This window comes from Homo sapiens, chromosome 1 (genome assembly GCF_000001405.40).
Source record: "Homo sapiens chromosome 1, GRCh38.p14 Primary Assembly".
Lineage (NCBI taxonomy): Eukaryota > Metazoa > Chordata > Mammalia > Primates > Hominidae > Homo > Homo sapiens.
This window is the reverse complement of record NC_000001.11, coordinates 28,021,191-28,047,625: the sequence shown is the minus strand read 5'-3', so window position 1 is coordinate 28,047,625 and position 26,435 is coordinate 28,021,191. Positions and strand designations below refer to the sequence as shown.

At 38.9% G+C, this 26,435-nt stretch overlaps 1 protein-coding gene and 1 pseudogene across 17 annotated transcripts in view; both read left to right on the top strand.

The window, feature by feature from the left end:
• The window catches only part of EYA3 (EYA transcriptional coactivator and phosphatase 3), a 118,267-nt gene that overhangs the window by 40,985 nt on the left and 50,847 nt on the right, over positions 1-26,435 (top strand). For 9 of the 17 annotated variants that reach the window (NR_104214.2, XR_007096080.1, NM_001990.4 and 6 more), the window contains 4 exons: positions 4,976-5,055; positions 8,721-8,787; positions 11,946-12,082; positions 19,700-19,837. Coding sequence is in view for 15 of the 17 variants with exons in the window: in NM_001990.4 (NP_001981.2) it covers positions 4,976-5,055; positions 8,721-8,787; positions 11,946-12,082; positions 19,700-19,837 (422 nt within the window). In the remaining 2 variants the exon portion in view is untranslated. The remainder of the gene's footprint in view (positions 1-4,975; positions 5,056-8,720; positions 8,788-11,945; positions 12,083-19,699; positions 19,838-26,435) is intronic. The other 8 variants (NM_001282561.2, XM_011541004.3, XM_047449420.1 and 5 more) reach the window with 2 other exon arrangements.
• Positions 15,446-15,742, top strand: RN7SL559P (RNA, 7SL, cytoplasmic 559, pseudogene; annotated as a pseudogene).

The window sequence follows — 26,435 nt, the reverse complement described above, 5'->3', positions numbered from 1 at the left end:
CTTGTTTGCACCTCACAGTTTGGCTTCTTCATACCATGGTTTTCAGTTTTCCACAGTTCTTACCTTCTGTCGTTTGTGCACCAACCATATGAGCCAGTAACTGCATCACCTCTACCACATTAATTTCAAGAATCCTACACTTTTACCTCCACACACTATCATCCCGGCTCATTTATTCTAGAACTGCCATGCTAGCCATATGATGTCTTAAACTATCAATTAAATCATCTGTCATCTTTTCACCATCACCCCTTAAAAAGAACTTTAGTTTCTTCCTTATAAGAGACCAACATGGCGGAACCTTGTTTCTACTAAAAACACAAAAATTAGCTCGGCGTGGTGACTTGAGCCTATAATCCCAGCTACTTGGGAGACTGAGGCAGGAGAATGGCTTGAACCCACGAGGCGGAGGTTACAGTGAGCCAAGAATGCGCCACTGCACTCCAGCCTGGGCGACAAAGACTCTGTCTCAAAAAAAAAAAGGAACTTAACTGGCCAGGTGTGGTGGCTCCACTTTTGGAGGTCCAGGTGGGCAGATCGCTTGAGTTCAGTAGTTTGAGACCAGCCTGGGCGACATAGCAAGATGCTGTCTCTATAAAAAACACAAAAACAATTATCCAGGAATGGTGGTGCACACCTTTAGTCCCAGCTACTCGGGGCTGAGGCAGGAGGATTGCTTGAGCCCAGGGGCCAGAAGTTGTGGTGAGCCAAGATTGCGCCACTGAACTCCATCCTGGGTTGGTGGCAGAGCAAGATGCTGTCTCATTTAAAAAAAAAAAAAGAAAGAAAAATAAACTTAACTATAAGATCTACTGTAATTAGTCCCTTACAAACATTCTTAACTTCCTCACTTTTTTCTGTCATACTTGCCTAGCAAAACCACAACCCTGATTAAACCCAACTATCCACCTATTCTGTACTTATTCCCAATCACTTGTACATCGTGAGAGAAAAACACAAAATTGTGCTAACTGTTCCTAGTTTCTATTCATGATAAGATCTAAAACAGGCACTTAGTCCCCCTTCCTGGTATGTCTGATTTCCCAGCCTCTAAAATCATCTTAATTCCTTTATTCCCTCCCTCCTTGCCCCCTACCTTCTCCCTTTTCCCTCCCTTTCCTGCTATTTCCATTCACTCAGCTGTGGATCTTGCTCCCTAGTTCAAAGAGAGATTAGGAACATCTCCCTTCTCTCACCAAATCAACCTACTTAATCTGCTTCTCTTGGATATTGTTTATCTTTCCTCTGAAATTCCCTTGCTCTTATCGAAGGCTAACCTCTCCAGTTGTTTGAAAGAACCCATCACCTTCATCTTTTCCTGCAATTATCTCTTCTTTTACCTTCAGCAATTTTTTTACTATGATAAAATACACACAATATACAATTTACCATTTTAAGTGTACAGTTTAGTGGCACTAAGTACAATCACTTTGTCTTGCAACCATCACTACCATTCATCTCTAGAACTTTATTCATCTTTCCAAACTGAAATTCCATGTTCACTAAACAATATTCTCCACTCCCCCATCTCCAGCTCCTGGCAACCACCATTCTACTTTCTGTCTGCATGATTGTGACTGCTCTAAGTACCTCACAGAAATGGAGTCATACAGTATTTGTCCTTTTGTGATTCATCATGATGTCTTTAAGGTCTATCCATTTGTAGCATGTGTCAGAATTTCCTCTTTTTAAGGCTCAATAATACTCCATTGTATGTCTGTTCCGCATTTTCTTTATCCATTCATCTGTTGTTTGTGTTGTTAATAGTTCTGTTGAATGAGAAGGAGGTATTTGTTGTGCCACTTTATGGACTTGGATGTTGTTGGGTTTTTTTGGTCATTTTATTTTAGAGCAGTTGTTTTTTCATGGTGTATTCATTGTTAAGCAAAATTTATGTTTATATAACTTTGAAAATAATTATATTTTGAGGCAGTATGTCATTTCTCTAAGGATAATAATTTAAATATTTAACAAGTGCTAGAGTTAACTCACTGTCTTGGTGCTGTTGTTTCTATTTATTCTCTAGATGCTCAGTTGAGTATGTAGGGGATGTTGCTATAACATAATATTCTAGGACCATTGGGTTTTAGGAACTGGTCCAGTGGATACTGGATCATAGCAATATCACCAACTTCTAAAATATAAGATCTACAAATAGTCTTCAACAGTGGGTATAACAGTGAACCTCATACTTAACCAGGTACATGTAGAAGTCAAACTAGTTATTGATGTCAGGAAAATTCTGGTTCAGTTTTATGCCCTTCCCCTGGTAATTCTATGTAAGTAGGTGTGAGATGGGGTCCAGAAGTCTATTTTTATTAACTATTCAGGTAATTATAATAAATCACCCAGTTTGGGAAACTGACACAACTATTCCATATAATTTCTTGCCCTTACCCTTCAATTTCCATAATCACATCTTAGTACATTAAGTTCTATTACAAAAATATAAACATTTGAGTAACAAGATAAAAATGAACCTTACTTGGGGATTTAGCTTTAAAATTAATTACAAATGAGGAAAAATTATTTGAACATTCAAAATATACCATTAAAGCTGGACACTGTGGCTCACACCTGTAATTCCAGCACTTTGGATGCTGAGGTGGACGGATTGCTTGAGACCAGGAGTTTGAGACCAGCTTGGGCAACATGATGAAACCCTATCTCTACAAAAATTACAAAAATTAGCTGGGTGTTGTGGCACATGCCTGTAGTCCCAGCTACTTCGGAGGATGAGGTAGGAAGATCACTTGAGCCCGGGAGGTCAAAGCTGCAGGAGCCATGATCGAGCCACTGCACTCCAGCCTGGGTGACCGAGTGAGACCCTGACTCAAAAAAACAAAACAAAAACCAACCAAACAAAAAATATATACCATTTAAAAAAAACCCTTATTATACTTGAATATTAGAAGTCAGTTTCAGAAATGATACGAGAACTTTATAAATTTTGTGCTATATATTTTTTATATAAGCAACATTTCTTTTTACAATTTTGCTGTGTAGAAACTACTCTTACCTTTGATTAGTCAGCATTATCTTTCCAGATATATAGAACCTCTGGTACAGTGTCTTCCACCTCTCCCTAGAGAGTAGAAGAACAAAGCAAGCTTCTTTCTAGGGTGCATGAATGTAGGAATGATGCCTGGGCTTTGAAGAAGTTGTAATATAATAACAGTTACAGTTAAAGTGTGCTTACTGTGTTCTAGCTTTGCTCTAAATGTAAACTTATTAGTCCTCCTGACAGCCCTATGAGGTAGGTTTCATTTTTATTCTCGTTGACGGATGTAGAAAGCGGGGAACAGATAAGTTCAGTGACTTGTCCAAGGTCATAGGGCTAGTTATTGGCAGAATAGAATATGAACTTGAGCAGCCTCTGACTCTAGAATCAACACTCCTAACCACTGTGCTATAATGGGACATAATAACTGAAGAATGAAAAGTAGAGGAGATGGAAAAGAGAGAACATTTTGAAGAATGAAAGTTAGAACAATCTTCATTCCAGAATTTCTGTGGAATCTCCCCAGCATTAAACTATCTAACATAATGACTTGTCCTCCCAGTTTATGTGACTTATCATTCTCAATTTCTCTTAATTTTCCTTATAAGTTAAAAAAAATGATGTTGCTTAGTCCTGGCTATATAACAAATAGAAAATGAGGTGTTTGTGTTTTATTTAACTGGGAGATAAGAGAAATATAGTAGAATGAATCTTAAGGGTTTAGAACCCCCGCTTGGAAACAAACGTATAATTTTTGTTTGTTTGTTTGTTTGTTTGTTTTGTTTTTGAGACAGAGTCTCACTGTGTCGCCTAGGCAGGAGTGCAGTAGTGCCATCTCCAATCACTGCAACTTCTGCCTCCTGAGTTCAGGTAATTCTCAGGCCTCAGCCTCCTGAGTAGCTGGGACTACAGGCGTGCACCACAACGCCTGGCTAATTTTTGTATTTTTAGTAGAGACGGGGTTTTACCATGTTGGTCAGGCTGGTCTCAAACTCCTGATCTCAAGTGATCCGCCCGCCTCAGCTTCCCAAAGTGCTGGGATTACAGGTGTAAGCCACCGCACCTGGCCCAAACGTGTAATTTGAAAACACTTCTCATATGATTATGGTTTGTAGCTGATCAAGAACCACTGTCTGAAATCAAACGTCTCCCTACCTTCCTGTGGTACTTTGGGAGCAAGGTAACAGAGCACTGTTGCACAGAATGGTGACTGTAATAAATAATATAGCATTGTATATTTCAGAATTGCTAAAAGCATAGAACTTAAGTGTTTTCACGTTTTTTTTTTTTTTTTCACAAAAAAGCAAAAGGTGTTTTATATATCAAAACATCACATTGTACCCCATAAACATATAATAAAAAGTGGCAGAGCAATGTTTTACCATATGGTGTTAAAGAAAAATCTGACTTGCCAGTGACTTAGCTGGAATTTCTGAATTATATAAAAACTAAAGGGATCTAGAGATATAAGAAAGAACAGTAGACTGGGCGTGGTGGCTCACACCTGTAATCCCAGCACTTTGGGAGGCTGAGGTGGGTGGATCACAAGGTCAGGAGTTCAAGACCAGCCTGACCAACATGGTGAAACCCCGTCTCTACTAAAAATACAAAAATTAGCTGGGCATGGTGGCATGCACCTGTAATCCCAGCTACTCAGGAGGCTGAGGCAGGAGAATTGCTTGAACCCAGGAGGCGGAGGTTGCAGTGAGCCGAGATCGTGCCACTGCACTCGAGCCTGGGTGACAGAGTGAGACTCCATCTCAAAAAAAAAAGAAAGAGCGGTAGAATGCTGAGGGTACTAGCCCTGGCCCGAGCTCTCTTCAAGTAGTTGTTAAAAATCAACAATAAGGATATCACGAAGATTTACTTTGCCTCTTACTTATATAGCCTAGGAGGAAATGGGTTTGAACTCATCACTTTTTAGCAATGCAGCAAATCAATCAGGGGCTAATGTATTCATTTTGGTTCTCCCAGTCAAGTAAGCAATCCAGATGTCAGTGATCAGAAGCCTGAAACATCAAGCCTTGCTTCAAACCTTCCCATGTCAGAGGAAAGTAAGTACCATATTCTGTGCATGATTGAACAGATATTCCTATAACTAGTAATGCTTTTCTTATAGAGTTGGTTTTTCGTAATTGCCTTGTTTGTCCCAAAATATCCTGAAGGCTCTCCCATCCTTGTTTTTGTGTGTGTTTATCCTTGAGCCCTCCTGTAAGCTTTATTGACAGACCAGCTGAGAAAAGATCACATGGAGTCCACTCACCCAAGGAGTCACACGCCGTGATTTTATTTTTGTTTTGAGATTGGATGTTTTAAAGGTAATAGTGTCTTACAGAAAATCAGAGACAACTATACTTAACCATATATACTTCCCATGTATATTTTTTAAAAAGGTGTAACTTTTTTTTAAAAGGTGTGTCTTGAGTTCTATATAGTGTTTCCTCAAAGGTGATTCTATTCTGGTGGTTCTCAGACCTTTAGCCTACATAAGAATCATCTAGAATACTTGTTTGTAATGTAGAATTCTAGTTTCACCTCCAAAGATTATCATTCAGTAGATCTGATGTGGATAGGGAATCTGCATTTTTGACAAGTTAGCCAGGTGATTCTGGTCCATTGGGAAACTGTCCATTTTGTGGAAAACCACTCTAATTTGTAAAGTGTCTCCTCTAATTTCTTGAATTTCCCACTCATCCCCAAGAAAAAGACCTGTTCCCTAAAATCTTATACTTTACATACTTCAGGGTCAGGAAGTAAGTTGAGTATTCTTGCTCCTTCCAAATAATTTCCTTTTTTCCTTCAAATACTTTGGTTCAACTGGGCATGGTGGATCTTGTCTGTAATCCCAACACTTTGGGAGTCTGAGGCAGGAGGATCACCTGAGGCCAGGAGTTTGAGATCAGCCTGGGCAACAAAGTGAGACCTCCTCGCTACAAAAAATAAAATAAAATAAAATAAATAAAAACTTTGGTTCATTTGAAGTCTACATCTATACCTTCCCCTACCTTTCTATTTTTACTTTAGACTGTCATCCTATTCATTCTGTTCTTTATTTTTTTTTTTATGTTTTTTGAGATGGAGTCTTGCTTTGTTGCCCAGGTTGGAGTGCAGTGGCACAATCTCGACTCACTACAACCTCCGCCTCCCGGGTTCAAGTGATTCTCCTGCCTCAGCCTCCCGAGTAGCTGGGATTACAGGCGCATGCCACCATGCCCAGCTATTTTTTGTATTTTTTTGTTGTTGTTTGTTTGTATTTTTTAGAGGTGGAGTTTCGCTCTTGTCACCCAGGCTGGAATGCAATGGCAAGATCTCCGCTCACTGCAACCTCTGCCTCCCAGGTTCAAGCCATTTTCCTGACTCAGCCTTCCGAATAGCTGGAATTACAGGCACGCACCATCACGCCTGGCTAATTTTTGTATTTTTAGTAGAGATGGGGTTTCACCATGTTGGCCAGGCTGGTCTCGAACTCTTGACCTCAAGTGATCTGCCGGCCTCAGCCTCCCAAAGTGCTGGGATTACAGGCATGAGCCACCACACCCAGCCATTTCCTTCTTGTCAGGATGTAAGCAGCATACTTGCTCTTGTCAGATATAGAGGCTATTATTTGTGTTTCATATGCTATCTGTTTTTACCTTCCCCAAGGACTTTGGTACTATAGTTTTCTTGCCACCACTTGTGTGTCATCACGGTCTTCCCTTTTTATCCTTCCTGTCAGTAAAGAAACATCTTACCATTTTAAAACATAAACACTGCTCCCCCGACCCCCCCCTGCCCCTCCGCCCTTGGCTCCACATCTCTTACTAGTTATGGACCTTCTCTTTGTTCTGTGACATATCAGAACTTCTGCAAGAGTTGCCCTCACTTGCTTTTTCACCTCCCATTCACTTTTCCAGCCTCTCAAATTTAGCTTCTATCCTCACTCTTCCAGTGAAACTGCTGTCGTCAAGGCCATTAGTTATTTTCATGTTGCAAATTCTAGAATACGTTTCTCCTCACATTCTCCCTCTCAGTACTTTTCCTCCCACCTTTCTCCTTTGATGGCCCTTCTTTGGTGGGCCTCAGGGCTTAATTCTAGGCTACCATGTTTCCTCTTTTGGGATTCTCCGATCCATTACATTACTTTAAATATCTTGTACATGGTTAATGAATTCCATATTGATATTTCCAGTCTGACTTCTCCCCTGATTTCATTTGTGTATCAGACTGCCTGTTTGACATCTTTACTGGAAGGAAAATCATACCTAAGATCTTCAAAAAAGAACTTTCGATTCCTTTAGCCCCCGTGACATACACTCTTCTCCCAAACTTGCCCATCTTAGGAAGTGGTATCACTCTCCGTCTAGTTGTTTTCCTCATTCTCTACATCAAATCCATCAGAATGTCCTGTTAGTTTTACCTTCAGAATATATTTCAAAGTCTTTGCCTCATCCCCACTGTTGCTATTCTAGTCCAAGCCAGCATATTACTTACTTGATTCTTCTATAGTATAATGGATATTATATCTTGACTCTTTATAATCATTTTGTGGTTCCCAAGTACTGTGAAGATCAAGTCTCATTCATTCTCTAGAGAAGTGAAAATTGGCCTCAGTCTCCTAGGATGTTGTTGATTCCTTCCAGAATTAAATTAAATTGGAGGAAGATAAGGGTTTGGGTTTTTTAATATATGTGTCAACTGAGAACCATTATGTAGAATTCAAATAAACTTACCTTACATTCTTTGCAATGGATTGTCAAAACTTTAGATCTAATTGACATCTTCATTTTTGTCAAAATGATTAGAGGTGAATGTGATCTCCAATAATTATTTTTAAATACCTCAAACAATAGCATTGGACAAGCTCTTCTGTAATAAACTCACAGGTGTTGATTTGTCTTACTCTTGAGCATTTGAGTTGGCCCCTCATCTACTTTTGATCAAGGTTCTCTTTTTGGGTCAGGTACTCTTCCAGGGAACCTAATTAGACATAAAGTTAATTGGTTCACTTTTAATCAGATATTTACAGCGTTCATACCAGAAGTAGTAATCATGAGAGTCAAGCCTTCATAGCAGCTATTCCAGATGAAGTCATGGGGGTCAAGAGGACAATAGCTGGAAAAGTCTTTGAGAGTTCATCAGAGTATCACATCAGTTCCTCACGTCTGTCTGTGATTTGCCAAACTTAAAGCCTTCACTACAAAACAGAAAAAATAATAGTATAGAAGCATACTTGCATCTATTCTGCTGTTGATTATGCATAGCAGTAGCAGTGGTTTTAAAATAAGATTGGGTGCCTCCCCCAAATCTGTTTTCCTGCAAGTCATTCTTAAGGCTTTTACTCAATATAGTAAGCACTCAAAGAACAAATAAGCTGAAGTAGAATAATGTGGTTTTCCAGACATAAAGCTTGCTTTTTAAGTTTGCCTATCAGCATAGCCGAAAGCTTAGAAGGTTGCTTCATCTATTATTTTAGATCAGTAATGGGTAAAGGTAGAGATCCTTACCAACCTTCAGCTCTTTTCCATACCCCACCCTTCTTTTTTTAACTGCCTCTGGAAGTCTATAAACACATGTATAAACAAAAAAGTGAGATATTTTCTACCACATAGTCTTTCTATCTGGTGTCCAAGCTGTATTCTGTTAATTAGTTTGAAAGACTATACAGTGAGATGTGCAGTTTTCCCATTCCATTTTCGAAATGTTCTAACTTTTTAACCTGGTGATATTATCTTTCTTTCAGTTATGACATGCACCGATTACATCCCTCGCTCATCCAATGATTATACCTCACAAATGTATTCTGCAAAGTAAGTTGAATAATTATTTCCAAAATGCATATGCTTTTTCTGTAGATTCATTGCAAAATTTAATATTATTTTTCCTCTAAAATAATAGATATTTAAATTATTTTTACCTCTCTTATTCTATCGTCATTCCAATTTTTAATTCCCTCTAAATATAGTCTATGTAGTATCCTTTTAAAAAGTAGATGGTGTCTGCAATGGATCATTTTACACAAAAGCTTACTCTAAAATGAGTAGGCACTGAACATGCAAAATAGTGTTAGTGATCAACCATATCATTGATTGACCTCTGATCATTTTCTCTGTCCTGTACCTTGACATATAGCATACAGATTAATAAAAACAAGACTGAATTTCTCAGTCCAATCTGTGTTCGGTTTTTTTTTTTTTTTTTTTTTTTTTAAGATAGAATCTCACTCTGTTTGTTGCCCAGGCTGGAGTGCAGTGGCACGATCTTGGCTCACTGCAACCTCCACCTCCCGGGTTCAAGTGATTCTCCTGCCTCAGCCTCCCGGATAGCTGGGACTACAGGCATGCCACCACGCCCAGCTAATTTTTGTATTTTTTAGTAGAGATGGGATTTCACCATGTTGACCAGGCTGTTTTCAAACGGCTGACCTCAGGTGATCTGCCTACCTCGCAAAGTGCTGGGATTACAGTCGTGAGCCATCACGCCCAGCCTGTGTTCAGTTTCTTGATTGAGGAATGTCCTCAGAGTAGAACCGGGCTTGAAGTTAGACAGGTTTGGTGGGTTAGTCACTAAGAGGTTATGTTTTGGGCCTTCATGGGGTAAGATCAGCATTAATATCAGCCAGGTTTTTCATCTCCAAAGTGGGTAGGTGCAGAACAGTGTGTATACCAAGCTACCTATTGTGCGTAATAAAGAGTGGACCTATGCATACAAAGACACATACAAGTGCATTTATTAAGCCAGGATATGTGCTTATGTGCTTACAGCTGCTGGATACATAAAGAAATTGGTAACAAAAGCAAGAGATACTTTATGGGGCTGTTATAAAAAGGAAACTGTCTTTCTTTTCCCTGGTTATATCTGTTTTTACCTTTTGAATTTTCATTAATTAAAAAATAAACTAATTAAAAAGTCAACCCAATGAGTTCTTCTAATTTTTAATCTGGTATTAACACTAATGGTGTCCTTGGGCTAATCATTTTCATGTGACTTTCTTCTGTGAAATAACTGAACCTATTCTCTGAGATTATTATGAAGAAATTAGATACTAAATGTGAAAACACATTTGAGCTTTGGGCTACAAAGACTCTGCATGAAAAAGGACATTATGGTCTTTACCATATCTGGAGATTAATCCATTTAAGGTCACTAAGATTTAAATCATTCCCATGTGACTTGAGTAACAACTCTAACCTGAGCTATTTCCTGGACTCAGATCTGGCTAAGAAGAATAGTTATTTTTAAATTCAGTTTTTTAGAATGTACTGAGATGTTAATATGTTGCAGATTCCAAATTCATTTATTCATTCAGAAAGTATTTGCATACCTGCTACATTCAGAATTCCTTATTAGCTATCTTAATTATTCTATCTTAATTCAGACCTCTTTATTACTTATCTGAACTGTTTTTTAACTGGATCTCCATTTCCAGTTTCTCCTCCCTTTCTAAACCATTTTACAAAGCAGTGTCAAAATAATCTTTATTAAAGAACAGCTCTGATCTTGTCACTCTTTGCTCAATAATTTCAGTGGCTCTCAGTTTCAGATTTGCCTTTTAGCCTGGCATTCAAGGTCTTTGCTTCCTTTCTCTCGCTACTTCTCTTAATATACTTCCCTCAGTTATCTGTGCTCTTTGCAGGCCGAAGCCCTTGCTTTCCTTACTCTATACCCTCCAGGACTTTTTTCTTGTCCTAGAACACCCTTTCTCTCCCAGTTCTGTGCCTCTTATCTGCTCAGCTAGTATATCACTTCTTTATGGCCTTTCTTCATTTTCCTCTTCCCCCAAAGGTGAAAAAAAAAATTTCCCCTTTAAAACACCCCCTGCTATATTTTATTATGCTTACATGGTACAAATAGCATTTTCTTTTTTACTTATATATACAGTGTAACTCACCAAATGAGATAATTGGTATCTAAAAATTCAGTGCAATATCATGGATGAAACAATTATATCTGCTAGCTAGTGTAAAGTCCCAGGAGTTTCACTGCTGAAATCTCTAGCTATCCCTGATATGGTGGCACCAACTAGTGGCAGTATGCCCTGACTTAAATATCATTGAGGAGATTGAGTCCTGTCTGGAACTTCCCAGATTTTGTTACTTACCTGGGTTCTGTTTTGTAGACTTGATTTGAGGATATTGGAACCCATCTCTACTTCCGTTTTTTGATGTGTTTGCTTGCCTTTTCTCCACCAGCCTCACCCGCTTTTCCAGTCTCACTTTCCCTCTCAGAACTTTAGTTTGGTTCAAGGGGCAGGGTGGAGAATGAGAGCCAATTGCCAATCTTGTTCTCTTAGTTTTCTATTATATTAGGATTTTATTCTAGATGTAGGCATAAGAGCATGAATAAGTTTAATCCATCCTTGTGTCTCACATAGGGCCATGCATGTAGCACACTAGAAATGTTTGTAGGATAATTGGAACTTGGAGGGATGTTTGGAACTATTAAATTTTTCATAAAATTGTTCCTTGGGTTGATGATAGGAGAACGTAGAAAGGAGGAAAGACTTCTACTTTCTGATCATAAGAGCCATTTTAGGCCGGGCGCAGTGGCTCACGCCTGTAATCCCAGCAGTTTGGGAGGCCAAGGTGGGTGGATCACTTGAGGTCGGGAGTTCGAGGCCAGCCTGGCCAACATGGTGAAACACCGTCTCTACTAAAAATACAAAAATTAGCCAGGCATGGTGGTGGGTGCCTGTAATCCCAGGTATTTGGGAGGCTGAGGCAGAAGAATTGCTTGAACCGGGGAGGCAGAGGCTGCAATGAGTTGAGATCATGCCACTGCACTCCAGCCTGGGCGACAGAGCAAGACTCTGTCTCAAAAATAAAAAATTTTTGAAAAGAGCCATTTTATGTGGAAGATTAGTCTCCTTGTTGCAGATTCTTTGCTGTTAGTGGTGGTAGCTATTTTACCTATTTTTCGTTACTAAAGTAAATCACACAAAAGTTTTTGTTTTCATGAAATTTTCCAGACCTTATGCACATATTCTCTCAGTTCCTGTTTCGGAAACTGCTTACCCTGGACAGACTCAATACCAGACACTACAGCAGACTCAACCCTATGCTGTCTACCCTCAGGCAACCCAAACGTATGGACTACCTCCTTTTGGTAAGGCACTGTATTGTAAACAATTTCTAAGAATGTTGATTTTATTCCGCAGAAACTTTGATCAGCCATGCATCATTCTTTACAAAGCACTTAGTTACATATGTGGTTGGGTATGCAACTTTGCAACAGTATGTTTGATGCATGTAATAAAAAAATCATAGTTTTTCAGTACTCATTTAGCTATTTTGTATGTACTAAGTCTTGACCCTGAAGCTTGGAATCTTTAAGTGTTTGGTAAATTCTTTGAGGATTTGCTATTGATTTGACTTACTTTATATACAATGTAGTATGGTACTATCATTAGGAAAGCATAATAAATATATTTCGAGGTGGCCAATTTCTTGCTAACACCAGGTAGTCTGAATATGTATCATAGTTTGCTCTGTGGGGTTTTTTTTGCCAACTTCTCCCTCTCCTTTCTCCCCTAACCCCACCCAAAACTGATCAGATATTGTTCTGCTGAACCAAAAAGTCATTTTAGAATACCGGAAATCCCCAATTTTCTTATAACCTTATGTGCCTAGGGAGTTATTTTCATTGGTTTTAGGTGTCTTGGACATGAACTATAAATTAAAATGATTTATCAGAAGTCACTTTAAGGTTCTTTGGGCACTTAATATCTGTGCTTATTTTTCTATGTGTGTAAATGCAGTGTGCTTCATTGCTCCTTCCCTGCTTTCCTGAAATGGGTGCCAGAAAATTAAAAGAATACTATATTATTTAAAAATATGTAATATGTAACAAAATTATATTTCTATAGGCTTTATTTAATCAAGCTACGAATTAGAAAAATTTTCCAGACAGATGACCACACAGATTCTGGATGTATTAATGTACCTGCATCTAGTTTCTGCATTCCTGTTTCTCCTGACCTGTTTGGCTACTCTTTTATGATATTGGCAGCTTTCTTACTTTTAGGCTTGTTAGAATTCTTTGGCTCCTGGTAACTGCTAGAAATAAGAATTGGGAATTATGTTTAATAATAGTGGGGTTGATAACTTCATATGAAATGGGAAACAAATTTTCTTGTTTCCCCATTTGTATATCCATGTTTCCATGCCTGTTAGTACCAGCCAGGGTACTCAGATCTTATATTTATGATATGATTAACCAGCCAACACTGAATGGACCTTTTGAAAGACCCCTCTGTGAATATGTTTGTGTTTATTTCTTTTTGGTTATTTAAAGCTGATTTTTCAACAGTTGACTAATAATAGGCTAGCAATTATAATTTTTAAATTACAGTTTTTTAAATCTTCTGTTTTGATTTGAATTATTATTATTAGCCCTTTACAACAGTTGATCATTCCTGCTGTTCAATATTAAATACAACTCCTATTACATCTCTGAGCATGATTTATGGAATACCTCAGATAATTCTGTGTGCATATGGATCCTAGATATAATTAATTTTTTAAATGATCACTATATTTCCCTTAAACTATTATTATTATTATTTTGAGACAGAGTCTCGCTGTGTGCACCACCAAGCCTGCCTAATTTTTGTATTTTAGTAGAGACAGGGTTTCACCATTTTGGCCAGCTGGTCTCAAACTCCTGGCCTCAAGTGATCTGCCCAGCTTGGCCTGCCAAAATGCTGGGATTACAGGCATGAGCCACCACGCCCGGCCCCGTTTGGGCAGATCTCTTGAGGCCGGGAGTTCGAGACCAGCCTAGCCAACATGGTGAAACCCTGTTTCTATTAAAAATACAAAAAAAAAATTAGCCGGGCATGGTGGTGGGCACCTGTAATCCCAGCTACTCAGGAGGCTGAGGCATGAGAATCACTCGAACCTGGGAGACAGAAGTTGCAGTGAGCCGAGATGGTGCCACTGCACTCCAGCCTGGGCGACAGAGCAAGACTGTCTCAAAAATAATAATAATAATAATAATAATAATAATACATTAAAAAAGAAAAAAATTCTGTAAAGTAAATAGATCTCTATTAAAACCTTGAAGGATACATGTTTATATTGTATGCTGGTAATATTGTTAATAATAGGCTCCTTTAATAATCTGGTTTTGTTTAATATTTGAGGGCAAGGAAGACTTGTGTTTCCCAATTTCTTCTATCAGTAATTCAGAAAGAGATAATCATTAGCTTAAATTTGACTTTAAGTAATGTATGAGACTTACTGGAGAGAGATTTTGGTTGGGGTAATGTGAATGATAGAGATGGCATATTCTCAGAATTTACCAGAGAAATTATAAGAGAGGTTTGTAAAACTTTTAAAAGTGACTGTATTTTGAAAAGATGTTTTCTTGTGTTTTATCATGTGGCTTTTTTTGGTAATGTGTTAAATTAAGTAGGAGAAAACACTTGATTTCTTTCTTTCGAAATCAAGATTTTGATACATTGTGTCATCTTAGTGCTGCCTGTTTTCAGATTAGCTAATTCGTTTTATTTCAGATGCAAATAGGGCTTCAGAAAAATTCATTATAATAATATTACCTTGTCTCTATTATTTACTATAATAAGCTGTATACTAAGAATAAGTATTTCACGCTGTATAGTATTGTCTCATGTAATCCTCAGAACAGCCCTAAGAGGTAAGCTAGCTTTATCCCTTTTTATAGGGGAGAAGCAGAGTTAAATCATGTGCCCAAAGTTCATACAATTAGTAAAAGCCTGGGATTATAATTGAACCCAGGATTGTTTCATTCTAGAAGTGCTCATAACTTTAGGTCTATATCAAAAAGATGGTCTCAGAGTTGAGTTTGAAATTAAAAAGCTTCCTCCTCTTGAAGAAAGGAGAAAAGACTAGAAGAAATCTAAGAAGGCTATATGATGAGTAATCTTTTAAAGTAAAGAAATACTGATCATATTCTTCCCAGAGCTGTATACAAATGGGGTGGGATGGCAGAAAGGGGATTAGAAGTTTAACTTCTAGGAATCTGAAGGAGTATGTGTAAGGAAAAGGGTACTTGTTTAATGTTAGTGGGAGTTATAAAATATGCCTTTAGGTGCCACTGTTCTGATTTCTTTTAAAAGAACTTTAATGTGAGTTGGAGGAGTGGGTGATATGCATTAAGAGCCTTAAGGATGTTCATTTCATTTCCCTCAGTAATTTCACTTCTGGGAATGTATCCTATGGAACTAATTAGAGATACCCACAAAAATGTGCTGACCAACATACTCATTGAAGCATTATTTATAATATGAAAAAACTGAAAACCTAAAACTTGAATATTAAGGTATGTGTTAAATTGTATATGGCTGCTGCATAGCCATTATAAATCATCTTCTTAAAAAATATTTAGGGTCTTGAGAAAACAGTGTATTATTAATTGAAAAAAGCAATATGTAATAGCAAAAACACAATGTTGTAATACCAATTTAGTATTTTTAAAAATATGTGTATAGCCAGGTGCGGTAGTGCATGCCTGTAGTTCCAGCTACTTGGGAGACTGAGGTAGGAGGATCGCTTGAGCCCAGGAGTCCTGGGCTGTAGTGCGCTATGCTGATTGGGTATCTTCACTAAGTTCAGCATCAATGTGGTGACCTCCTGGGGGTGGGGGACCGCCAGGTTGCCTAAGGAAGGGTGAACTGGCCCAGGTTAGAAACAGCAGGTTAAAACCCCATTGCTGATCAGTAGTGGGATCATGCCTGTGAATAGCCACTGCACTCCGGCGTGGACAATGTAGTGAGACCTTGCCTCTAAAAAGAAAAAAAAAATGTGCGTAAAGAATAATTGGAAGCAAAAAAAGTGGCTGTTTTTCCTACAGACGTTTTAAAAAATATATACATATACTTTGTTTATAATCAGGAAAAGTACTTACATTAAATTACTTACTATTTATAATAGCCTATCCAAATGAGCTGCTGAATCAACAAGCCAAAATATCCTTTCATGTGCTTTTTCTAGCATTGGTGTGTACTTCAGTTCCTCACCAGACTAATCTCTAAAGAGCACTATACGAGTTACTATAAATTGAACTGATGAGATTAGTTTGGATAGTGACTAATCAATAGTGAAGTACTTGTGCTGAGAAACTTGGGTAGAGTTTGTGATAAGACCCCATTCTGGGGGCATCAGGAAGGCACTCAGAGACAGACTTACTTACCCATTGTTAGCTTGACAGTTTCTCTGCAGCAGGCTCTTGATGCTTAAAAGTACTTGAGAAACTTGGTAGTTGTTGGCATAGAGCAGTGGACTGGGAGTCCTGTAATTAGGGTTTGGTTTCCTTGTTTACTATGAGCAATAGTGCTGTGGAGTCAAACCATTGGATCATGCTGCCTATTATCTGGAATTCTGGGAGGGTTGCTTTTAGAGGAAGATGATTTGCATGTCTGAAGAGCCAGGTCTACAGTGATGCTGGAGGTACTGTCTGTATTGTTTTTTATTCCTCATAAAATAATTATATATTAGACATCTACTTTATGTTTCTGGCCAAAGATATTCAAAACTAGCTAGCTATCTCCTACTTATTTTGGACATTTGTGTTCTAATTTTTGATCTTATAAGAGGGAGACTATCAAAACATTCTCAGTTGATACTATTGTTATTAATAAGGTATTATTTTCATATAGTGTAAAAATAAACATGTTTATAAATCTACCACCTTAGGGTCAAAACCTATTTGGAAAAAGAAATCACAGTGATGACAATAAATCTGAAAGTTATTGTGACATTGAAATAGCAATTTGTTTACCAAAAAGTGTGATATACAATCAGCAGGAATCATAGCACTGATACTCACATTTTACATCATAAATGTTTTAAAAATGACATTCTCAAATATTTTTATTGTTGAAAATCAGACATGGCAAGAATCTTAATTATGGCTAATCTGGACAAGACATTTAAATGATCATGAATTATGATGGGGCAAACGCTTCTAATTCATGCTAGCGATGTCAGTATTCCTCAGTCTCTTAAAATAAGTTATTTCATGTGATTAATAGATGAGAAAAGAATATTACATTTTCTTTTTATGCATTAAGAGTTTGGGGCAAAGCCAGGCACGGTGACCCATACCTATAATCCCAGCACTTTGGGAGGTCAAGGCAGGAGGATCATTTAAGGCTAGGAGTTTGAAACCAGCCTAGGCAATATGACAAAACCTTGTCTCTGCAAAAATACAAAAAGTAGCCAGGCGTAGTGTGCCTGTGGTCCCAGCTATTCGGGGGTTTGAGGCAGGAGGATCCCTTGATCCCAGGAGGTTGAGGCTGCAGTGAGCTATGATTGCACCACTGCCCTCCAGCCTGGGCAACAGAGCAAGACCTTGTCTCAAAAAAATTAAGAAGTGATTATCATATCCCACTGTTGGTCTTTTTAAGACTTTCATATTTCTCTTTACTATTCCTAAATGTACTTATCAACAAATTGGACAAATCTGAGTTGCACTGAAGTATCTCAGTGCCCTGGTGAAGCAGAGGTTCTCATTCTCAAAGTATTGTATTTTTAATTGCATATATGTGTTCATTGGCTATAAATTCAATCACTCCTAGTTTATCAGAGTAGGAGCAAATAAATGAGATGAGTTAATGTTGAGTTTGAAGTCATGGCTAACCTTAGTATTGATATCATACATGGAATGTGTTTGGTTGATGAACCTTCTTAGACCTAATTATCAGCTTCAACTACACTAACCCAGTAACCATAGCTATTCAGAACACAGTGAACAACCAGGCATTAAGATTTTTGGGGCCTGGCATGGTGGCTTGTGCCTGTAATCCCAACACTTTGGGAGGCTGAGGTGGGTGGAACTCCTGAGGTCAGGAGTTCGAGACCAGCCTGACCAACATAGTGAAACCCCATCTTTACTAAAAATACAAAATTAGCCAGGCATGGTGGTACATACCTGTAATCCCAGCTACTAGGGAGGCTGAGGCAGGAGAGTCGCTTGAACCCGGGAGGAGGAGATTGCAATGAGCTGAGATCATCGTGCCACTGCACTCTAGCCTGGGCAACAAGAGCGAAACTCCATCTCAAAAAAAAAAAAAAAAGGATTTTCTTTTTAAAAGTAGGCTTTTGTGTAGCCAAAATTATCACCAAAACCATGCACTTAAGAGTGTTTCACTCATAAAGAATATCCTTGGACTCTCATGCAGATGCAAAGCTTTGTTTATGGTTGCCTAGTTTATTGCAAATTAAAAGGCAGATACTGCTAAGGAAGTCAAGAAGTGACAGACCACAGAGGAAAAACAGTGAAATTAGAACCTAAAAATCAGAACTATAATTAAGTTATATTTAGTACTAAACAATTGTCTTTACACATCACAGTAGCCTCTGCGGTATCTCTGTAATATATGTAGCACAGCACAGTTTTTATTTTTGAAACAGTAACTGAGAAAATCTAAAGGTATGTGTGCTATTTCCTCCTTGCTCAGAAGGCAGGAAGGGATATAAATATATTTTAGAAAGATTGTTACTCAGGAGCATTATGATAAAAAGAAAATAAAAATGAACAGCTATGATGTTTGTCAGTATGAGATAGATTTATATGTTCTGACTTGGAAAGATGAATCTTAGAGGTATTATGTGGAAAAGCAAATTATGTACACTATGTATAACACAGTCCTTGGCTGGCAGTGGCTCATGCCTGTAATCCCAACACTTTAAAAAGCCAAGGTGGAGGATTGCTTGAGGCCAGGAGTTCAAGACTGGCCTGGGCGACATAGCAAGACCCCACCTCTACAAAAAATTAGTCAAGTATGGTGGCACACACCCATAGTCTCAGCTACTCCTGTAGCTGAGGCATGAGGATTATTTGAGCCTAGGTGACAGAGGAAGACCCTGTCTCTTAACAACAACAACAACAACAAAAAATCACAATCCCATTTTTGTTAAAAAGAAGATTAGTGAATACATAGAAGAAATCTGGACTGAGTGTAGTGGCTCATGCCTATAATCCCAGCACTAAAGGAGGCTGGGGCAAAAGTATCGCTTGAGGCCTGGAGTTCAAGACCAGCCTGGGCAACAAAGCAAAACCCTATCTTATTTAAAAAAAAAAAAAAGAAGAAGAAGAAATCATCTGGGTGACTCTTCTGCAAACTGTTAATAGTGGTTAAGTCTGGATGATGGGATTATATATGACTGTATTTTTTTTCTAAATTATGTATTTCTGTAATGTTTTTAATTTATAAAAATAAGCAGGTATGTCTTTCCTAATCGGAAGAAACAAAAGTAACAAAATAACCAGCTTAAGAAGGCAGAGAAGTATTTAATATATTTTAGAAAAATTTGGTCCTTGTTTAATGGGTAAGTGAATTTTAAACTTATATGGAATGTCTCCTACCTTGACAGTTTGGATAAATTATTTATCACTGTACATGAACATCAGGCACTCTTTATAACAGATACTCCAGTTGGGTGTCAATAACTCTTTTTTTCTGAATCCTGGTCAATTTCCCCCAGTCATTGAAATGAATTTATATACATATTGGGATTTGTGGCAAGCTTTTTGTTTCTTTAGCCTCATCCCCTAATTCTTTGAAAGTGTTATTTGCTTGTGATATATTACAAGTGGGAGATTCAATAATTTTCTCTTACAAGCAAATTTATTTTTGTTTTAAGATTTAGATTTTAAACCTACTGGCTGATATTTGAAAGCATAACCATGCTCCTCAGTCCCAGTGTATTGTTTGTAATTGGTCCAATTTATCTGATTCAGGTGCATTGTGGCCAGGTATGAAACCTGAAAGTGGTTTAATTCAGACTCCATCTCCAAGTCAACACAGTGTTCTTACCTGCACTACAGGGTTAACCACAAGCCAGCCAAGCCCAGCACATTATTCTTATCCCATTCAAGGTAAATAGGCATGGTTGTGTGTGTGTTTTAAAATTATTATTATTGTTTCTTGTTTTTAATCTACCTGTATCTCCAAACAAACAAATTGGATAATACAGGAGCTCTGTCTTCTAAAGTAGAAAGGGGGTGATACTTGGATTTGTGCATGCTTTTTGTGTTAGGCAAACCACAGCTTAGGAGTGTGGTTTATAAGTAGTTTAGCCTTTGAATGTGAGCTGCTTAATAGAATTGAAGCCTTCCCTTTTGCATGTTGGTGTCCAGAAAACGCCTTGATTTTGTTCTAGTCTATTTTCAGTGGCATTTTGTCCTATAAATGAGCAGAAGACTCCATGGGTTGGAATTTTGCTGACCTGTATGAATTGTCATAGCAGTATGTGAGGTGTGTGCTGCTTTTCTGCTGTGTCTTTTGTCACACTTATACCCCATTTACTACTTGATGAGAGCATTTCTCTTGCTCAAGAAGTTCATTCTTATTTCTCTTTCAGGATAAAAAGCATAGTATTAAAGCTTAAGCTCTAAACATCTTTACCTTCCAAGTTCTTCCTCTAACAGAGTTAGAATTATGACAGGACTATTAGGAAAGAAAACAAAAAACTCAAAAGGCACTATGGAGTTAATTGCCTATTCTTCCAAATCCAGGGCAGGCAATTTGTCATTGCTTCAGACTGGGACTAGTATCCTTGTACCTGGCTTCTCATCTGCCTCTTTTCTCCTGATATTTCCCAGCTTTTAAATTTTATTTCTTATAAAATAGATAGTAGAGGGATTAGTATGGGACCTCAAAAACCTATCTGAAGTACTCTTAATGTATAAACTTTGGTGATGAAAAAAAGTTTTAATATAGGTTAATTAGATTTTGATTTTCAGTTTTAACTGTTTTCAGAAATGTTTGAAAACTACTTCTCCTTGGTCTAGTGGAAACAGAACTGGTCTCTATGTTCTGAGACCTTACTCTGAGCTACCTTTACCTCCTGTTGTTTACCAAGTCTCCTCTTTTCTTCACTTGTTTCCTCTTCTTTTTTTTTTTTCTCCCCTTGTCCTCTCCCCCTTCTTTCTTTCTAAGATGGGAACAAACCAGGAGGGAGAAACTTGAAAGAATGGCTTTGCCTGTCTTCTCCACCACTCCCTTTCATTTTTATAGAGTATTTCTCTATGGTTTTTTGTTTTGTTTTGTGACAGAGTCTCACTCTGTTGCCCAGCTGGAATGCAGTGGCGCGATCATGGCTCACTGCAGCCTTCACCTTCCGGGCTAAAGTGATCCTCTCACCTCAGCCTCTCCAGTAGCTGGGACTGCAGGTGCACACCACCACACCCAGCTAATGTATTCTATATTTTTTTAGAGGTGGGATCTCACTATATTGCCCAGGCTGGTCTTGAACTCCTGGGCTCCAGCAATCCTCCCACCCCAGCTTCCCAAAGTGTTGAAATTATAGATGTGAGCCACCACACCTGGCCTAGTATTTCTCTATGTTGATAGGCCTTTTGGGTTCAACCACAGGTAAGTCTAGTTGCCAAGTCTCTTCTAAACAGGTATATCTGATAACTTACACCTAGGTTGTGAAAGAAGACCAAGGGTTCTCTTAATGCTCTACCAAAATGTAAAACCACCATTCCTCTGTAGTTATGTCTAGAATTTGAGGAATGTGATAGCTGTGCTTATTTCTCCCTTGTAAAACAAGAGGAATCACCTCTTTGGGGTCTGTTAGGACCCATTGCTTTAAGAGTCATGAGGCTGGGCGTGGTGGCTCACGCCTGTAATCCTAGCACTTTGGGAGGCCGAGGCAGGCGGATCACCTGAGGTTGGGAGTTGGAGACCAGCCTGACCAACATGGAGAAACCCCGTCTCTACTAAAAATACAAAAGTAGCCGGGTGTGGTGGCGCATGCCTGTATCCCAGCTACTCGGGAGGCCGAGGTATGAGAATCGCTTGAACCTGTGAGGCGGAGGTTGCAGTGAGCCGAGACTGTGCCATTGTACTCCAGCCTGAGCAACAAGAGTGAGACTCTGTCTCAAAAAAATAAATAGAAATTTAAAAAAATGGAAGAGTCATGAAAATATCCCTTAAACTTCACTAACCACCATTCTTATTTGTTATCTGTTAGAACATTTTTTCCTTTGGATTGGCTAACCCGGTTTCCTTCATTTTGCTATTAATGACAATTGCAGGTATTTATGAAGTGCTTACTGTGCTCTTGACATTTTTCTAAGCAGTGGATAGATGTTGCACACGTAATCCTCACAACAACCCAAACCTCATTTTAGAGAGGGAGAGCCTGAGGCACAGAAAAGCTAAGTAGCTTATCCATAGTCACAGTATTAGCAAATAATTAAGGCAGGACATTAGCTGGGCATTCTGACTCCAGAGCATGAGTACAATATTTATGCTTTTCAGTATTGAGGTCATAGTATCAATATCAACTCTCCCATAATTGAGAACCTTTGCTAACAAATATCTAAATTCACTTCTCCTCCCTTTTTGTGGTTAATCTATTGGCCCATTTTATTGTTCATTAGCACAGGGTAGAAATTAAGGCAGAAGTTAACCATTAAGTTATCAATTTTTGCCATTTATTCTGATGAAAAAATTGTTAGGAAAACAATGGGCTAAAATGAAACGTGGGTATTATTGGTATTAAATTACTTAAGTTCACCACTATCAATATTACTCTCCTCGCTCCTACTTTTCCCTTTCCTTTTAGCATGGATAGTGAATGTTAGCTATCCAGGGCTGTTTCTTTCCCCCTGCATAACTACCCAATTTTTTTAAGTGTTCAAAACACCCCAAGCATTCTGCAGTTGACAGCAGCCCATCCTCCCTGGGGGAGTTAGGGAAATTATCTCAAAAACCTAATCTGCTTCTGGCTTGATTAACTCTAAGCAGAACCTTTTCTTTAGTTTGTACTTCAGTGGTACCATAATGAGAAGAGACTGCCTTTGTTTGCTCATAAAAATGTTTTGAATGAGTAGATCTGACTTCTGTAGTATCATCCTTTTCCTAGAGTATCTTGTGACTATGTGGCCCTATCTTTGGTCATTTTCTTCAGCTGAGATGTTTTAATTGGTTAAATAATATTCAAGTGGCAAAATTAATTTCAGAAATTTCAAAATTAATTTTAATTATATATATATTTTGAGACTGAGTCTTGCTCTGTCGCCCAGGCTGGAGTGCAGTGGCATGCTCTCGGCTCACTACAACCTTTGCCTCCTGGGTTCAAGGGATTCTTGTGCCTCAGCCTCCCGTGTAGCTGGGATTAGAGGCACCCACCACCACGCCCAGCTAATTTTTGTATTTTTAGTAGAGACAGGGTTTCATCATGTTGGCCAGTCTGGTCTCGAATTCCTGACCTCAAGTGATCCACCTGCTTCGGCCTCCCAAAGTGCTGGGATTACAGGCATGAGCCACTGCGCCCAGCCTAATTCAATCTTTTAATGAGTGTCTTTGTACTCTAGTATCATTGGTAACACACAATAATCTATCTCTGACCAGGAGATTTTTAAAAAAATTTTTATTAATAGATGTTTTTGTTTGTTTGCTTGTTTGTTGTTTTTTGAGACGGAGTCTTGCTCTGTCACCCAGGCTGGAGTGCAGTGGCGTGATCTCAGCTTAATACAACCTCCACCTCCCGAGTTTAAGCGCATCTTCTGCCTCAGCCTCCTGAGTAGCTGGGATTACAGGCACATGCCACCATGCCTGACTAATTTTTGTATGTTTAGTAGAGATGGGGTTTCACCATGTTGGCCAGGCTGGTCTCAAACTCCTCACCTCAAGTGATCCGCCTGCCTCGGCTTCCCAAACTGTTGAGATGACAGGTGTGAGCCACCGCGCCTGGCCTAGACTTTATTTTTTATTAATAATTTTAGATTTACAGAAAAGTTGAGCAGACAGTACAGAGAGTTCCCATATATCCCTCCTCCTGCACAGTTTCCCATTATTAACATCTTACGTTAGTATATTACACTTGTTACAATTAGTGAACCAGTATTAGTATGTTATTATTAACTAAGTCCGTTGTTTATTCAGATTTCCTGTGTTTTTATATGATGTCCTTGTTCTGTTCCGGGATTCCATCCAGGATACCAAATTACATTTAGTTATGTCTCCTTAGGCTCTTCTAGACTTTGTAGTTTCTCAGGCTTTTCCTTGCTTTTAATGACCTTGACAGTTTTGAGGAGTACTGGTCCAGGTATATTTTAAGATGCCCCACTCTTAGAGAATTTATCTGATGTTTTTCTCATTATTACGCTGGGGTTATGGATTTTAAGGAGGAAGGTCACAAAGGCAAGGTGCCATACTATCATCATTATTTATGACTGTTGATGTTGACCTTGATTACCTAATTGAAGTAGTGTTTGTCAGTTTTCTCCATAAAGTTACTCTTTCCTCCCTTTCTGTACTGTATTCTTTAGATAGAATTCACTATGTACAGCCCACAGTTAAGGAATCATGCTGCCCCTTCTTTAGGGTAGAATATCTACATAATGTATTTGGAATTCTTCTGCCCAGATTTGTCTCTTCTCCCCAGTTTGTTGATTTATTCAGTCATTTTTTTGTGGACTCCTAGATATTTAATTTATACTTTGGGTTATAATCCAATACTACTTTATTTATTTTGTTCCAGTTTGGCCACTGGGAGCTCTTTCAGTTGGCTCCTATGCCTTTTGACATACTCCCATTTTTTTAGTTTTTGGTTTTCCCCCCCCCCCCCACCCAGCACTTTCTTACTTCCTGGCACTACAAGATGCTCCAGGCTCATCTTGTATATTACTTATTCAAGTCCTATTATCAACCATTTTTTTTAAGGAATCCTGGTTCCTTTTATTGGAAAAAATGGTATTCAAAACCAAGATTTGGGCTTCCAGCCTGGGCAACAAGGCAAAACCCCATCTCTACAAAAAATATAAAAATTAGCCAAGTGCAGTGGTGCGTGCCTGTAGTCCCAGCTACTTGGGGAGGCTGAGGTGGGAGGATCGCCTGAGCCTTAGGAGGTCGAGGCCTCAGTGAGCTGTGATCGCACCACTGAACTCCAGCCTGGGTAACAGAGTGAGACCCTGTCTCAAAAAAAAGATCTGAGCTTGAGGGGTGCTAATTGCTACTGAGGTGTCAGGTGACATTTATTTTAGGCTTTCTCAGCTGACAGAGCAAACAAATATATGTAGGTATACTAACCTATGTAAATACACATATCTATAAATATTTCTGTATGTCGTAATCTGTATCTGTGTTGAGTTAAACATGAATTCTTACTGATTTCTTGAGCTCTGATCCATTATTACATAGATCATTCTAAACCCTGTCCCTTATTGATCTGAAAATCTCCACTCCAGCAATGAGAATCTTTTAGGCCGGGCGCGGTGGCTCATACCTGTAATCCCAGCACTTTGGGAGGTGGATGCAGGCAGATCACGAGGTCAGGAGATCGAGACCATCCTGGCTAACATGGTGAAATCCTGTCTCTACTAAAAATACAAAAAATTATCTGGGTGTGGTGGTGGGTGCTTGTAGTCCCAGCTACTTGGGAGGCTGAGGCAGGAGAATGGTGTGAACCCAGGAGGCGGAGCTTGCAGTGAGTCGAGATCGCGCCACTGCACTCCAGCCTGGGCGACAGAGCGAGACTCTGTCTCAAAAAATAATAATCTTTTATTAGGAGATTTTTATTATTTTGATTTACTAAGCTCCTTGTGTGGAGCAGTGCTTGCACATAGTAGGCACTCAATAAATATTTGATAAAGGATTAAGTGAACGAATGACCCACTTAGGCAATCAGTTTTAACCAAAATATGTACAGCTTCTACTGGATCAGGAATTGTCAGTTATATTAGTCACATAATGAGAGTAAGTTTTAGGAACCCACCTGTCAGCCTTTAGCAGAAAATAATGATTTTAGGCTGGGCGCGGTGGCTCATGCCTGTAATCCCAGCACTTTGAGAGGCTGAGGTGGGCAGATCACTTGAGGTCAGGAGTTTGAGACCAGCCTGACCAACATGGTGAAACCCCGTTTCTACTAAAAATACAAAAATTAGTTGGGAGTAGTGTCAGGCACCTGTAATCCCAGCTACTCGGGGAGGCTGAGGCACGAGAATCGCCTGAACCAGGGAGGCAGAGGTTGCAGTGAGCCAAGATCATACCACTGCACTCCAGCCGGGGTGACAGAGTGAGAGTGCATCTAAAAAAAAAAAAAGAAGAATGATTTTGCCCTTCACACTTAGTGCACACAAGATAGATGTATATGAATCCCACAAATATTTATTGACCATCACCTGCTGTATGTCAGGTGCTTTGCTAGATGCTGGAGATTATAAGACAGCAGGATTCTGCCTTTTTGGAGCTTACAGACTAGTGGGGTGCGGGGGAGAAAACAAGTGAGTAAATACATAACAGATTTTGAACAGTGCTCTGAAAAAAAAATTGATCACTGTGATTAAGAAAACAGAAAAGGTCTTGGTTTTAATAGGTCAAAAAGACCCTCTTTGAGGAAGTGAGTCATGCTGAGGAGCCATCATGCTGGGAAGGCAAGGGGGTTGGAGAGAACAGTCTAGGCAGAGAGAACAATATTGCAAAAGTCCTCAAATGATAAAGAGCTTGTCCGGTTTTGAGTAA